This window comes from Homo sapiens, chromosome 12, assembly GCF_000001405.40.
Source record: "Homo sapiens chromosome 12, GRCh38.p14 Primary Assembly".
Taxonomy (NCBI): Eukaryota; Metazoa; Chordata; class Mammalia; order Primates; family Hominidae; genus Homo; species Homo sapiens.
The window spans coordinates 49,485,871-49,499,570 of record NC_000012.12 but is presented as its reverse complement, the minus strand read 5'-3'; the positions used below and the strand labels follow the sequence as shown (position 1 = coordinate 49,499,570).

The 13,700-nt window shown below is 40.0% G+C and overlaps 1 protein-coding gene across 19 annotated transcripts in view; it reads right to left on the bottom strand.

Annotated features, from left to right (window-relative positions):
- The window catches only part of SPATS2 (spermatogenesis associated serine rich 2), a 160,574-nt gene that overhangs the window by 27,855 nt on the left and 119,019 nt on the right, over positions 1-13,700 (bottom strand). For 18 of the 19 annotated variants that reach the window (NR_120663.2, XM_047429409.1, XM_047429412.1 and 15 more), the window contains 4 exons: positions 9,998-10,106; positions 8,840-8,889; positions 4,569-4,830; positions 2,562-2,738 (listed from right to left, as the gene is read on the bottom strand). Coding sequence is in view for 18 of the 19 variants with exons in the window: in XM_047429409.1 (XP_047285365.1) it covers positions 2,562-2,738; positions 4,569-4,830; positions 8,840-8,889; positions 9,998-10,106 (598 nt within the window). In the remaining variant the exon portion in view is untranslated. Of the gene's footprint in view, positions 1-2,561; positions 2,739-4,568; positions 4,831-8,839; positions 8,890-9,997; positions 10,107-13,222; positions 13,248-13,700 lie in introns of those variants that run through there. The other variant, XM_047429411.1, reaches the window with a different exon arrangement.

Genomic DNA, 13,700 nt, shown 5'->3' with positions numbered 1-13,700 from the left:
TGAGAGAGCTGCACGGAGATCCACAGAGGATTCTGAGTGTGGACCAGTGCATGAGTATAAAGAAACTACCCAAGACTGGAAAGACAACAGGCAAAAAAAAAACAAAACAAAACCAAAGAACCACCAAAAAACAAAACAAAACAAAACAAAACAAAACAAAACAAAACAAAACAAAACAACCAGGCAGAACAATCCCCAGAGCTCACCAGGCCAGGGACAGTTTGTGCTCACACCAGCCAGAGTGGAAAAACCTCACAATATATGGCAGGCAGAGTAGTTGGAAGGATACTGCCTCAGCAACAGGGCAAAATTATTTCTAGACTAAAGGCTGCTCTAGTCCCACCTAAAAAAGCTTAAAAGAAACAGAAAAATATGACCTATAAGTAAGAGAAAAAATCAATCACAGAGGCAGATGCGGAAATGACACAGATGATAGAATTGAGTAGAAAAGGACATCAAACAGCTATTATAATTAGATACTATAGGGCCAGGTGTGGTGGCTCACGCCTGTAATCCCAGCACTTTGGGAGGCCAAGATGGGTGGATCACCTGAGGCCAGGAGTTCAAGACCAGCCTGGCCAGCATGGTGAAACCCTGTCTCTACTAAAAATACAAAATTAGCTGGGTGTGGTGGCACGCACCTGTAATCCCAGCTACTCGGGAGGCTGAGGCAGGAGAATCACTGGGAGGCGGAGGTTTCAGTGAGCTGAAATCACACCATTGCACTCCAGCCTGGGTGACAAGAGTGAAACTCCATCTCAAAAAAAAAAAAAAAAAAAATAGATACCATATGTTCAAGAAGGTAGAGGAAAGCATAAGCGTGGTAAGAAGAGATATGGAAGATATCTTAAAAGACCCCAGTTGAACTTCTAGAGACAAATAAAACAATGCCAGAGACATATACTGCATAGAATTAACAGCAGAATAGAAACTGTTAACAAAAGATGAATACAGTTGAAGACAGCAGTTTTACAAACTATCCAAAATGAAATGAAACACACAGAGAAAAAAGACTTTAAAAAAGGTACCAAATTTTCAAAATTCCTTAAGTTACAGGATTTAATAGAATATAATTCACCATGTGGACATTACAAAATTAAAATGTTCTGTCTGTATAGTACACTTCAAAGCACTGTATATATGAGGAAGCCAGCTTTGTAGAAAAGGATGGACTGCATTTACCTACTCAACACATTTTAACCAATTTCCAAGAGTTCTATTTACCTTTCTATATTCACCAATCCCCAAATTACATATATAATTGATTGCTGGAAACATGGATCTAAAAAGTTTGTAACTATGCCAAGATATGCATTTCCAATTTTTTTATTTAAATTCTTCCTCATCTCAACTTGATTTTATTTTTTAGAATCCACCTAAAAGCTTTCAAGCCTTGTGCGCATATATATATATATATATATATATTTTTTTTTTTTTTGGCTTGATTGGATAGTCTCAAACCTGCTGATCTGCAACAGGCTGAGGGCTACCAGAACAATGAAAAAGGGGAGCTTACCTAATTAAAATTTGGCTCATGTGTAATAAATAATTCCATAAAGAGCTACTGATTACAAGTGTCCTTTATATTTCTATGTTTCATTTGTTTAGTGGAGTGGACCACCATGCTTAGATGTATGAAACTCAGATATAGGAAACACAGGGTATTATCTCTGTCTGCTGAATTACTGGCTGTTTGTTTAAATGATTATTGTAGTTTTCTTTTTTTTTTAAGCAAAGAGCTATCACCAGTCAACGCCACATACTTAAGAGAAAATGACCTTACTTTTTCTAAGCTAGAGTCTGTCAGAGGACTCTAGCTCAGTAAGAGCATGAAGTTATGAAGAGGAGTGAAAATATTTCTTTAAAATGTCAATGTTGGCTGGGCGCAGTGGCTCACGCCTGTAATTCCAGCACTTTGGGAGGCCGAGACAGGCGGATCACGAGGTCAGGAGATCGAGACCATCCTGGCTAACACGGCGAAACCCCATCTCTACTAAAAATACAAAAAAATAGCCGGGCATGGTGGCACTCGCCTGTAGTCCCAGCTACTTGGTAGGCTGAGGCAGGAGAATGGCATGAACCCGGGAGGCGGAGCTTGCAGTGAGCCAAGACTGCGCCACTGCACTCCAGCCTGGGGGACAAAGTGAGACTCAGTCTCGGGGGAAAAAAAAAAAAAAAGTCAATGTCAGAGAAGGTAGAGCTTTTACTTGTTGGGTCAACCAGAAGATAAAAATGAAAGAAATAGCACCAAAACGTTGCAATAAAGCAAATAAAGAAACAGGTTAATGTTAGCAGGTAAATCATTCTGGCAGTAGAGTTTGACTTTAATTCACAAAACGTGCCGTCGTAAGTAGATTGTACAGCATTTAAACTACTTTCAGACTCCAACTGTGTACACAAAGGTTAGGGGAAGGGCTGAGTAGTCAGTCACTGTCTGGAAAATGGAAAAATATTAACTGATGCCCTTCTGAAACCTTATTTATGGCAACAGAGATAATTTGCCCTCTTTAGCCAAAAACACAGATTTTTCATTTTCTCTCACAGGTGGGCCTCTGACTTACTTAGCTTTTTACTGGTGGCGAGGGGAACATCTTCCATCCCCATATTTGAAAACTGAGTTTCTGTGGTAGGTCTTGAGAGAGATTTGGCAGCATTCCTGGGTTGTTGAGAATTGTGAATAGAGTGCATAGTCAAAGACTTGGTCTCAAAATCAGAGACACCATTCTGCAGCATGGATCCTGTCCAAGAAAGAGGACTGTACTTTAGAGCACAATTTAGGAGTAAACCAGTCATTCTTAAGTACACAAAGAAAACAGGTAAAAATGTTTGAGGCAAAACCATGCCTCTTAAAAGACTGTAAACAAAATCAACTGAAACAATAGAACAAAGATCAGAATCAGCTGGGTATGGCTATCGGCAGCTTCGGGCTTAGTCTTAAGTGGCGTCCGGAATGAAGAGAAGAGTCTGTGGCAACACATCTTTAGATAGGGAGCTCAATCCCTGTGGCTCTGTGGCTTCTTTGTAGCTTGGTAGTTTCTATGTAAGTCTGGCACAAGGAATCAAAGAAAGTCAGTATCACCAACTTCTGCAAGCCTCCATGTTAAGAAAAAAAGAGTTTTAAACTCTCTCGAGGAAAGAAGAATTTAAAAAGCTTTAGGGGCCAGGCATAGTGGCTCACGCCAGTAATCCCAGGTATTCAGGAAGCTGAGGCAGAAGGATCACTTGAGCACAGGAGTTTAAGACCAGCTTGGGCAACAGAGAGAGACCAGGTCTCTCAAAACAAACAAACAAACAAACAAACAACAACGCTCTAGGGGATAGAAGTGTAATAAGTTAGGAAGAGTTAGGAAATGAGAGGAAAGCTAGTTCAGAAAAAAATGGAAACCACTGGCTATTGTTGGTTTGAGTCAGTGCAATGTTTTTCTCTAAGTCTTTTTTTGTGTATGTGTGTATACTAATCAATAAAAGAACACCTAAACAGCACAGCATAAATCTTATATTGGCATTACACTTCTAAAGCCAGGAGCAGCAGGGCAGGGGAACTGGATTAACAAGTAATGTTTTAAAAGAGAAATTTCCAGTATCTTACCCTCAAAAAAATGGTTAACAAAGAAAGGTACAAGATATGTGAATTTACAACTAACACTAATCTTAATTCTTCACTAGAAAACAAATGTGAGACTATAAAAACCAACAGCCTAGTTCTCACAAAAGCTGAAATTATCATTATTATATTTCTCACTATGTTGGGTCTTAAAATAATAATATCAACATCATCATCTTCCTGAATAACTCCACAATTTTTAAAAAACAACTTAAAGTCACCTTCTGTAGTCTCTAAATACTGAGGTATTTCTCTGCTATTAACCCATTTATGCCGGAGGCTGCAATTTTTTTAATTTTTGCATGAGTGGAAAAATTAGATCTTGGCGATGACCTTGAGCAGTAGGATATGAATAACTCCCACATGCTCAGCGTTCCAATAATGGAACACTAGGGTTCAAGTTAGATGATTTCCACAAAACTGATTTAGACAAGAGTTAAAATATAATGGAACAAGAATTGTATTTTTTCAGCCAGGCGCGGTGGGCAACGCCTGTAATCCCAGCACTTTGGGTGGCTGAGGCGGGTGGATCATGAGGTCAGGAGATCAAGACTATCCTGGCTAACACGGTGAAACCCCATCTCTACTAAAAAAAAATACAAAAGATTAGCCAGGCGTGGTGGCGGGTGCCTGTAGTACCAGCTACTCAGGAGGCTGAGGCATGAGAATGGCGTGAACCCAGGAGGTGGAGCTTGCAGTGAGCTGAAATCACGCCACTGCACTTCAGCCTGGGCGACACAGCGAGATTCCATCTCAAAAAAAAAGAATTGTATTTTTTTCTAGGCCTTTGATAATTATAAAATGTGACTCAGACAAAAAGTAACAAAAACTAAAAAGTAAAAAGACTAATCAGCAAGCACTGGATAAAAAAAGACTAACTAGATTTAATTGATCACTTTCTCAACGAGGAGAACCCTGTTTTTCAACTGAATGCAACTTTTTCAAAATCTGTTAATAAACTCACCTGTTCTATCCAGCGTATCTAGCATGGCAGACTCGGGATCCTCCAATTCTCTGGCATCTATTGAAAGTGTCTCCAAACCTTCACTGAGTGAGTCCACAGACTCAGTGTCATTGATGGCACCATTGACATGGTAGCCATTCATACCACCTTTCTCTGAGGAAGGCGCAGACTGTTCCTCTTGAATGGAAACTGATTTACTGGAATCTGGGATGCCGTTACTTGGTTCTGCGGCAGGTTTCGGTTTGTTTTTCTTCTTTTTGTTCTAAAGTTATTAAAAATTTGAAAAAGAAAAGAAAAGAAAGAAAAGATTCCCCCACAACCTAGAGAGGTAACTCTAGCTACCCAAAGGTAACCAATGTTACCAATTTCTTGTATGTTCTTTCAGAAATTTAATATTTTCACATATGCTGAACTATTGCCTAAAATAAAATTTTACTATGTGAAATCCTATACTTTAGATAAACTCAAACACATAAATATAAAACATTTCTTCATGACAAAACCCACCTTCAACAAAATCAAAAGATAAATTACAAAATGTGAAAAAAATATGTGCAGCTTATAGTCAAAGAGCTAAATATATACAGAGTTCTCAGAAAAAGCAAAATAATCCCATAGAAAAAAATAGTATAAGCTATAAGCATATAGAATGATATGCAACCTCAGTCTAATAAGAGATATATAAATTAAAACTGCACTGCAATTATCATTTTTCATTTATTAGATTAGCAAAGGTCAAAAAGTATGTTAACACTGTAGAATTGATAAAGGTTGAGGGTATAGAGAAACAGCCATTTTCATGTATTACTTCTGGGAGTTCAAAGTGGTACTCTCCATGACAATCTAGTAATGCTTATCAAAATTACAAATGCACATACTCTTTGACTAGCAATCCTACTTCTAGGAATTTATTCAAGATGAGAATAACACATATGCAAAGTGATTTCTATATATACACAAGGTTATTCATTGCAGTATCACTATTAACAGCACAGGATTAGAAACAACCCAAATGTTGATCAATAGGCGACTGCTTAAATAAATTGTGGCACGTCTAAACAGCAGGATGACTATGTATCCATAAAAACAAGAAAGCTCTTTATATATTGAGACATGGAATAAGCTCCAAGATATATTACATGAAAAAAGGAAGCAGGCAAAGAGGAGAATGGTCTTATTTACTTATATATGCATAAAATATCTTGAAAGATATATAAGAAATTGAAAATACTGTTTGCCTTGGGGGTGGAGAACCAAATGGCTGGGGAACAGGGATGGGATAAAGATGTTTCAGTGTATTGGGTGGGTGCAGTGGCTCATGCCTGTAATCCCAACACTTTGGGAGGCCAAGGTAGGTGGATCACCTGAGGTCAGGAGTTTGAGACCAACCTGGCCAATACGACGAAACCCCATCTCTAATAAAAAATACAAAAATCAGCCAGATGTGATGGCACATGCCTGTAATCCCACCTACTCGGGAGGCTGAGGCAGGAGAATCACTTAAACCTGGGAGGTGGAGGGTGCAGTGAGCTGAGCTTGCACCACTGCACTCCAGCCTGGGCAACAGAGTGACACTCCATCTCAAATTAAAAAAAAAAAAAAAAAGATGTTTCAGTGTATTAACTCTTGTACTTTTGAATTTTGAGCCATGTGAGTATATTGCATAGGCAAATAGTAAAGTTAAAATAAACAAACAAAAGTCCTTTACCTTTTGTTTTGTCAAACTCGTAGCTCCACTGGCAACACCTAATTCTATTCCTAAGGCTAGGCTGATAATAACTGAATCAATTTTTCCCCAAGTCCTTTCTGTGACCCTCTCCAGCAGAAACATGATTGAACTCTAGATAAACTTTTTGCCTTAACAGCTCTCATCTTTCTTTCTTTCTTTTTTTTTTTTTTTTTTAAAGACGGAGTTTCGCTCTTGTTGCCCAGGCTGGAGTGCAATGGTGCAATCTCGGCTCACTGCAACCTCCACCTCCCAGGTTCAAGCAATTCTCCTGACTTGGCCTCCCGAGTAGCTGGGATTACAGGCATGTGCCACCACACCCAGCTAATTTTTTTGTATTTTTAGTAGAGATAGGGTTTCACCATGTTGGCCAGGCTGGTCTCAATCCCCTGACCTCCAGTGATCCACCTGCCTCGACCTCCCAAAATGCTGGAATTACAGGCATGAACCACCGTGCCCGGCCTCATCTTTCTTTTTCTTACTTTCCCCCATGTGAACTGGCTAAGTTTTCATATCATTGGGTCATGTATATCATAACTATCCCACTCAGAGTCACATCCTATTGGACTAATCCCAACAGTTAAGTGGACTGGACTGGATTTGTGCATTTGGGACTGCTAAACTGAAGTCATATTTCTTTCTCCAAATTTTAAGGAATGTCTGTGTCTCTAACACACATCCTCTTCCAGGTCCATGCACATCTTATATCACTAGTAACTTATAATCCTGGGCTAATAAATTAAGAAACTGGTGTTAGCTGGGTGCAGTGGCTCATGCCTGTAATTCCAGCACTTTGGGAGGCCAAGGTGCGCAGATCACTTGGGGTCAGGCGTTCGACACCAGCCTAGCCAACATGGTGAAACCCTGTCTCTACTAAAAAATACAAATATTAGCCAGGCGCAGTGGCACGCACCTGTAGTCCCGCCCTACGTAGGAGGCTGAGGCATGAGAATTACTTGAACCCAGGAGGCGGAGGCTGCAGTGAGCCGAGATCGCGCCACGGCACTCCAGCCTGGGCGACAGAGCAAAACTCCATCTCAAAAAGAAAAAAAAAAAAGAAAAAAGAAAAAAAAGAAACTGGTGTTTTCCAGGACACTCACAGTTATCTATGTAACAGGTTGAAAGCAGCAGGAAGAAGTTAAACAAATATTCAAAACTACAGGTATGAAGAGCTTCAGAAGAATCTGTGTAGTATTAGGTAACCCTTGGAAAAAATTCTCAAGCGTCACTGAGGCCAAGCCTGGTTTTTGTTCAAGACCTGACAGGACTCCTAAAAAGTGATGTAAGAGTCATGATGAAAGCATTTCAGAACTCCAGCACTGACTTAATAAAGAAAAGAACACCCCAAACAGATTTCACAGAGATACTTGATTAAAATCCATACTTCAAGCATTTCCTAAAGGGGTTACCTTTACAGTGCAGAGCTGTGGGAAGAATTTTGAGACCAGCTGGTATCCTTTGGGAAAAGCATCTGATTTTAAGTAAATAAGGAGAAAGGAACGAGAACTAATATGTTAGGCGTTGTATTATGTATTTGTATTTATTAGAACTATTTTTCTATTTTAGAGATGAGCAAACTAAGGCACAAATGTTAAGCAATATCAGTCACAATGCCAGTAGATAGTGGAACAGGGTAGGAATCCAGTTCTGACTGATCCCATAGCCTGAGTGCTTTCTACCTCTCAAAGTGGAACATCAGACCCCTCTGCAAGGCACCTAATAGCCTTTTTTTTGAGATCAGGTTTCATCATGTTGCCCAGACTTGAACTCCTGGGCGCAAGTGATCCTCCCACCTCAGCCTCCCAAAGTGCTGGGATTACAGGCATGAGTCACCGTGCCTGGCCAGCACCTAACAGCTTTATGTCAAAGCTCATTAATATCAGGACTACAACCCAGTTGCCCGACCAAAAATCTGAACTGTTTTAACTGATTTATGGTATGAATATGGTTGAAAACCACTCAATTAGATCGCTTTCTCTTGCTTTCCTTGATTTGCTGTCTTTTTCACCCGTCTAATAACTGCACCATGGCAAAGTCATTCTGTTTCCTGCCTTAAATCACACGGAGAGGACTGTGTGGTACTCTGTGAGACACAGCTATGTTTCAAGGTCGAAGAATTTTTTTTTTTTTTTTGAGATGGAGTCTCACTCTGTCACCCAGGCTGGAATGCAGTGGCCCAATCTCGGCTCACTGCAACCTCTGCCTCTTGGGTTCAAGTTATTCTCCTGCCTCACCCTCCTGAGTAACTGGGATTACAGGCACGTGCCACCACACCTGGCTAATTTTTTCTATTTTTTAGTAGAGACGGGACTTCACCATGTTGGCCGGGCTAGTCTTGAACCACTGACCTCAAGTGATCCACCTGCCTTGGCCTCCTAAAGTGCTGGGATTACAGGTGTGAGCCCCTGCACCTGGCCAAAGATGTTTTTTAACCAGGTAAACAGAAGATATGTATGTGAACCTTTTCTTTCAAATATTTTTGCAGAGCCTAAATTTTTAAAAATAATATACACATCATCATGCTTTTAAATGTAATTCATTTTACCTTTTTCTTGCCTGTTACTGTCCATTCTTTGAGTACTTCACTGGCACTACCTGTAAGAGAAACCAATTACAGATTTTGTCTCCTACCACACACACAGTAGTCAAGCAGGAGTCAGTGTCCTCCCATTTTGTAATTGCTGGAGAATTTACAAAGCTCCTAACAGAAAAGTTAAAGTTAAGGATCAGGTCTAAAGTAATGTAATGAGATAATCATGCCATGCTTCCCTTTTGGAATACCTGCCTACTTAGACCCCTCCTCTCCGAGTAATTTCCTCAGTAAGTTCTTCTAAGAAGAGACTAATGTAGCTGGGCCATTTTGAAGATTCTCTTATCCATACATCTTAGACCAAATACAAAGGGGATGGCACACTGGTTTTAGCCAAGTGTGCCATCCTTTCCCCTCCAGTTACACACCCACCTTGGCTATGTTGTTTTGGAGACAGCTGCACATTACCCTAGACCAAAACACTAACATTATTTTTTAAAAAGATGAAGATAAAGAAAAACTTTACAACATTCAAACTTGTGCATCCTATGTTGGCAGATTCAGGAAAATAAAAACAGGGAGACCTAACCTCATGTTGCTATTCAAAGACGCAATAGCTTCAGATAGTTTTTCTCCAACAGGTTACATGGAAGGAAGGTTCATAAAACACTTCTCAATGTTATAAATCTGAAGGGTTGACTAAGCCTGCCATTCTTCTACGTATTAGATAAGGAAATTCAAACCCACACATTTGAGTCACTTGCCACAGCCAAACTAACGATATTAGAATCCGGAAGACAATACTGAGTCCTTGAATTTGCCATCTGTTGGTGAGCCACTGAATCACTGCTTTGTTATTAAGAGTCTCTTAAATTCTTATTCAACCCAAGTCCAATCAAGTCCCTTATACCACTGGCCACATGATTTCCTCTTAAATACCATTAGAGAACATTTAGCGTGAAACAATGGAGTTTTCTCAGCTTATCTCTTATTATAGACACCACATAGCTTATTTCAGCTGAAAGAGGTATCGTCAAATGTCATGGTATGTTATGTTTTCATGGGGTCTGCTCTATCATCTATGAATCACTGGATTGCTGAATGTTATAAAAGTCTGAAGCAAATTCTATTTGAGCAAATATAAATTTATTTTTAAAATTAAGTCAGGATTACCTTCCATGAATGCTTGTACTGTTTTGTCCACACAGTTATCAAAGTGCTGCAAAACCAGGATAATTTCATTGTTGCTCTTATTAGGAACTATTGCACGTACCGCATTTATCTGGAAAAGATGACAGGGTCATTTAATTCTAACATTAGTAGGTCACTAGGCAGCTGAGGCCTATACAGAGAATAATGAAAAGAGTGATATTTCATTTTTAACAATATGTATCACTCTTTAGTGTCAGTGACAGTACATACAAGCATCTCACTGGGAATGATTAATAGATGAGTGATAACAGCATGTGAAAAATTAATTTCAAAACTTAGAAATGCAGAACATTGCTAGAAATAGAAGTTATATGCTAGATTTCATATAAAGAAAAGGTGGTTTAATTTCGGTATCAGGTATTAATGTGGCATCAATATTCCCTCATTTTTAGCATACTGTAAAGAAAGGTGGAAAGGTAAATGAACTAGCAACAATAACAACTTAGATTTTTATGTAAGATTTTTTGAAACATATTTTACCTTGTATCATTTAACTGTAAAATAAAGATAATTTATACAAACAATTTAAATTATAAACTATGTTAGGCATATAAAACATAATGACACCCATTGCATGCCACTGAGTTTATTAAAACAAAATAAATATAATTGAAGCCCCCATGAACACCTAATAAGTCCTATTTCCCTTCTTCGTCTCGCTAGAGATTTCTACCCTGAACTTGGTATTATTTCCATACGTGCTTTTGCATTTTTATGATATGTGCATATATCCATAGGTAATATACACTATTATTTTGCACTACATAAATACATAAATATTATATCATATATATTTATCTTCAATTTGTTTTTTTCACATAGCATTATTGTTTTAGATTTTTTCTATGTTGATAAATGCATCTCTTATTTATTTATTTTGAGACAGTCTCGCTCTGTCACCCAGGCTGGAGTGCAGAGGTGTGATCTCGGCTCACTGCAACCTCCACCTCCCAGGTTCAAGCGATTCTCGTGCCCCAGCCTCCTGAGTAGTCAGGATTACAGGCATGTGCCACCACGTCCAGCTAATTTTTGTATTTTAGTAGAGATGGGGTTTTGCTATGTTGGCCAGGCTGGTCTTGAACTCTTGGCCTCAAGTGATCTGCCTGCCTCCACCTCCCAAAGTGCTGGGATTACAGGCTTTGAGCTACCGCACCTGGCCTGTATTTCATATTTTTTGAGACTAAAAATATATGGCTGGGCATGGTGGCTAGCACCTGTAATCCCAGCACTTTAGGAGGCTGAGGCAGGCGGATCACGAGGTCAGGAGTTCGAGACCAGCCTGACCAACATGGAAAAACGCCGTCTCTACTGAAAATACAAAAATTAGTTGGGCACAGTGACGCATGCCTGTAATCCCAGATACTCAGGAGGCTGAGGTAGGAGAATCACTTGAACCCGGGAGGTGGAGGTTGCAGTGAGTCGAGATCGCGCCATTGCATGGCAGCCTGGGCAGCAAGAGCGAAACTCCGTCTCAAAAAAAAAAATACAGGATGAAAAATAATATACATCATTTTAAATGTATAGCTGAACATAAGAAGTAAGGGAAATCCCTAGAGGGAACTAAAACCCAGAATAGTGAGCTTGAACTATTAATAGGTAACTGTGGCATGTTTTGCCAGTCTCAATAACACATGGGTTTTACCACATAGTGCCATTAAGCCCAGTAATGCCAGCACTTTTGGGAGGCTGAGGTGGGAGGATCCTTTGATCTCAGGAGTTTGAGATCAGCCTAGGCAACATAGTGAGACCTTGTCTCTACAAAAAATAAAATTAGCCGGATGTGGTGGCACATGCCTGTGGTCCCAGCTACTCAGGAGGGTGAGGCGGGAGGACTGCTTGAGCCTGGGAGGTTGAGGCTGCAGTGAGCTGAGATCACAACACTGCATTCCAGCCTGGGTGACAGCAAGACTGTCTCAAACAAAACCAAAAAACCCAAACAAAAAGATTGGAACTGAGATCTTATGTAAGCTTGCCGTTTTAAAAATATTGCACCTTCAGGGAAAGGGTGAACTAGAATAAATCTTCCCACTGACCGTTTTTTTATTTTTTGGAGGCGGAGTCTCACTCTGTCAAGGTTGGAGTATAGTGGTGAGATCTTGGCTCACTGCAACCTCTGCCTCCCAGGTTCAAGCAATTCTGTCACAGTCTCCCAGGTAGCTGGGATTAGAGACGTGCACCACCATGCCTGGCTAATTTTTGTATTTTTAGTACAGATAGGGTTTCACCATGTTGGACAGGATGGTCTCGAACTCCTGACCTCACTCAAGTGATCTGCCTGCCTCGGCCTCCCAAAGTGCTGGGATTACAAGCATGAGCCATCGCGCCTGGCCCCACTGACTTTTGAACACAATATTCTTACTGTGTGGGTTTAGAGAGATACATTTAAAGGGTAAAAGAATTGCAAATCTTAAATTTTATTCAATGGTTTTATCATTAGTAACATAGTAGTAATATTATACTGTAGGGTTCTTATTATTTTATGAGTATTATAAAAATAAAACAAATCAGTGAATAATGTTTTTAGGAACTAAAAATTTGGTTAAGAGAGAAGAAATACATGTTTAAAATAAGATGAGAAAAGATCTTTTAATAGTATATTTGAATTGAAGATGTCAATGTGAACTCATTTTTTAACAAAAAAAATCTCCTAGTTTCATCCACGAAAAAGTCTAAAAACAATGACTCCTCAATAGCAATAAGCACACCTAGCTCCTAGATACTGGTTTCTCTCTCTTTTTTTTCTTTTTTTTTTTTTTGACGGAGTCTCGCTCTGTCGCCTAAGCTGGAGTGCAGTGGCACAATCTCGGCTCACTGCAAGCTCTGCCTCCCAGGTTCACGCCACTCTCCTGCCTCAGCCTCCAGCCTGGGCAACAGAGGGAGACTCTGTTTCAAAAAATAAAAAAACCATACAAGTGAGAAGGTATACAGTCTGTAATTCAACGAAGGTTAATACATTTTTGAGATGAGCAACTTAGTATGTATCAATCACAGCAATGATCCCTAAAAAATGGAAGTTTAGGTAAAAATTACAGACTCTGCTGGATGCGGTGGCTCATGCCTGTAATCCCAGCACTTTGGGAGGCCGAGGTGGGTGGATCACGCAGGAGATTGAGACCATCCTGGCTAACATGGTGACACCCTCTCTACTAAAAATATAAAAACTTAGCCAGGCATGGTGGCACGCACCTGTATCCCCAGCTACACGGGAGGTTGAGGCAGGAGAATCACTTGAACCCGGGAGGCGGAGGTGTGCAGTGAGCTGAGATCACGCCACTGCACTCCAGCCTGGACGACAGAGTGAAATTCCATCTCACAACAACAGAAAACAAAACAACAACAACAACAACAAAAGGCACCAAACTTACAGACTCTACGATAAAGGTAAGATTCTGATAACTTAAAATACAAGTATTTATAGTACTCAACCACTGTACAGGACTCCATAGTCAACAATTTTTTTTTAAATAAGACAGAGAGGCCAGGTGCAGTGGCTCACGCCTATAATCCCAGCACTTTGGGAGGCCAAGGCAGGCAGATCGCCTGAGGTCAGGAGTTTGAGACCAGCCTGGCCAACATGACAAAACCTGTCTCTACTAAAAATATAAAAATTAGCCAGGCATGGTGGCAGATGCCTGTAATTCCAGCTACTCAGGAGGCTGGGGGA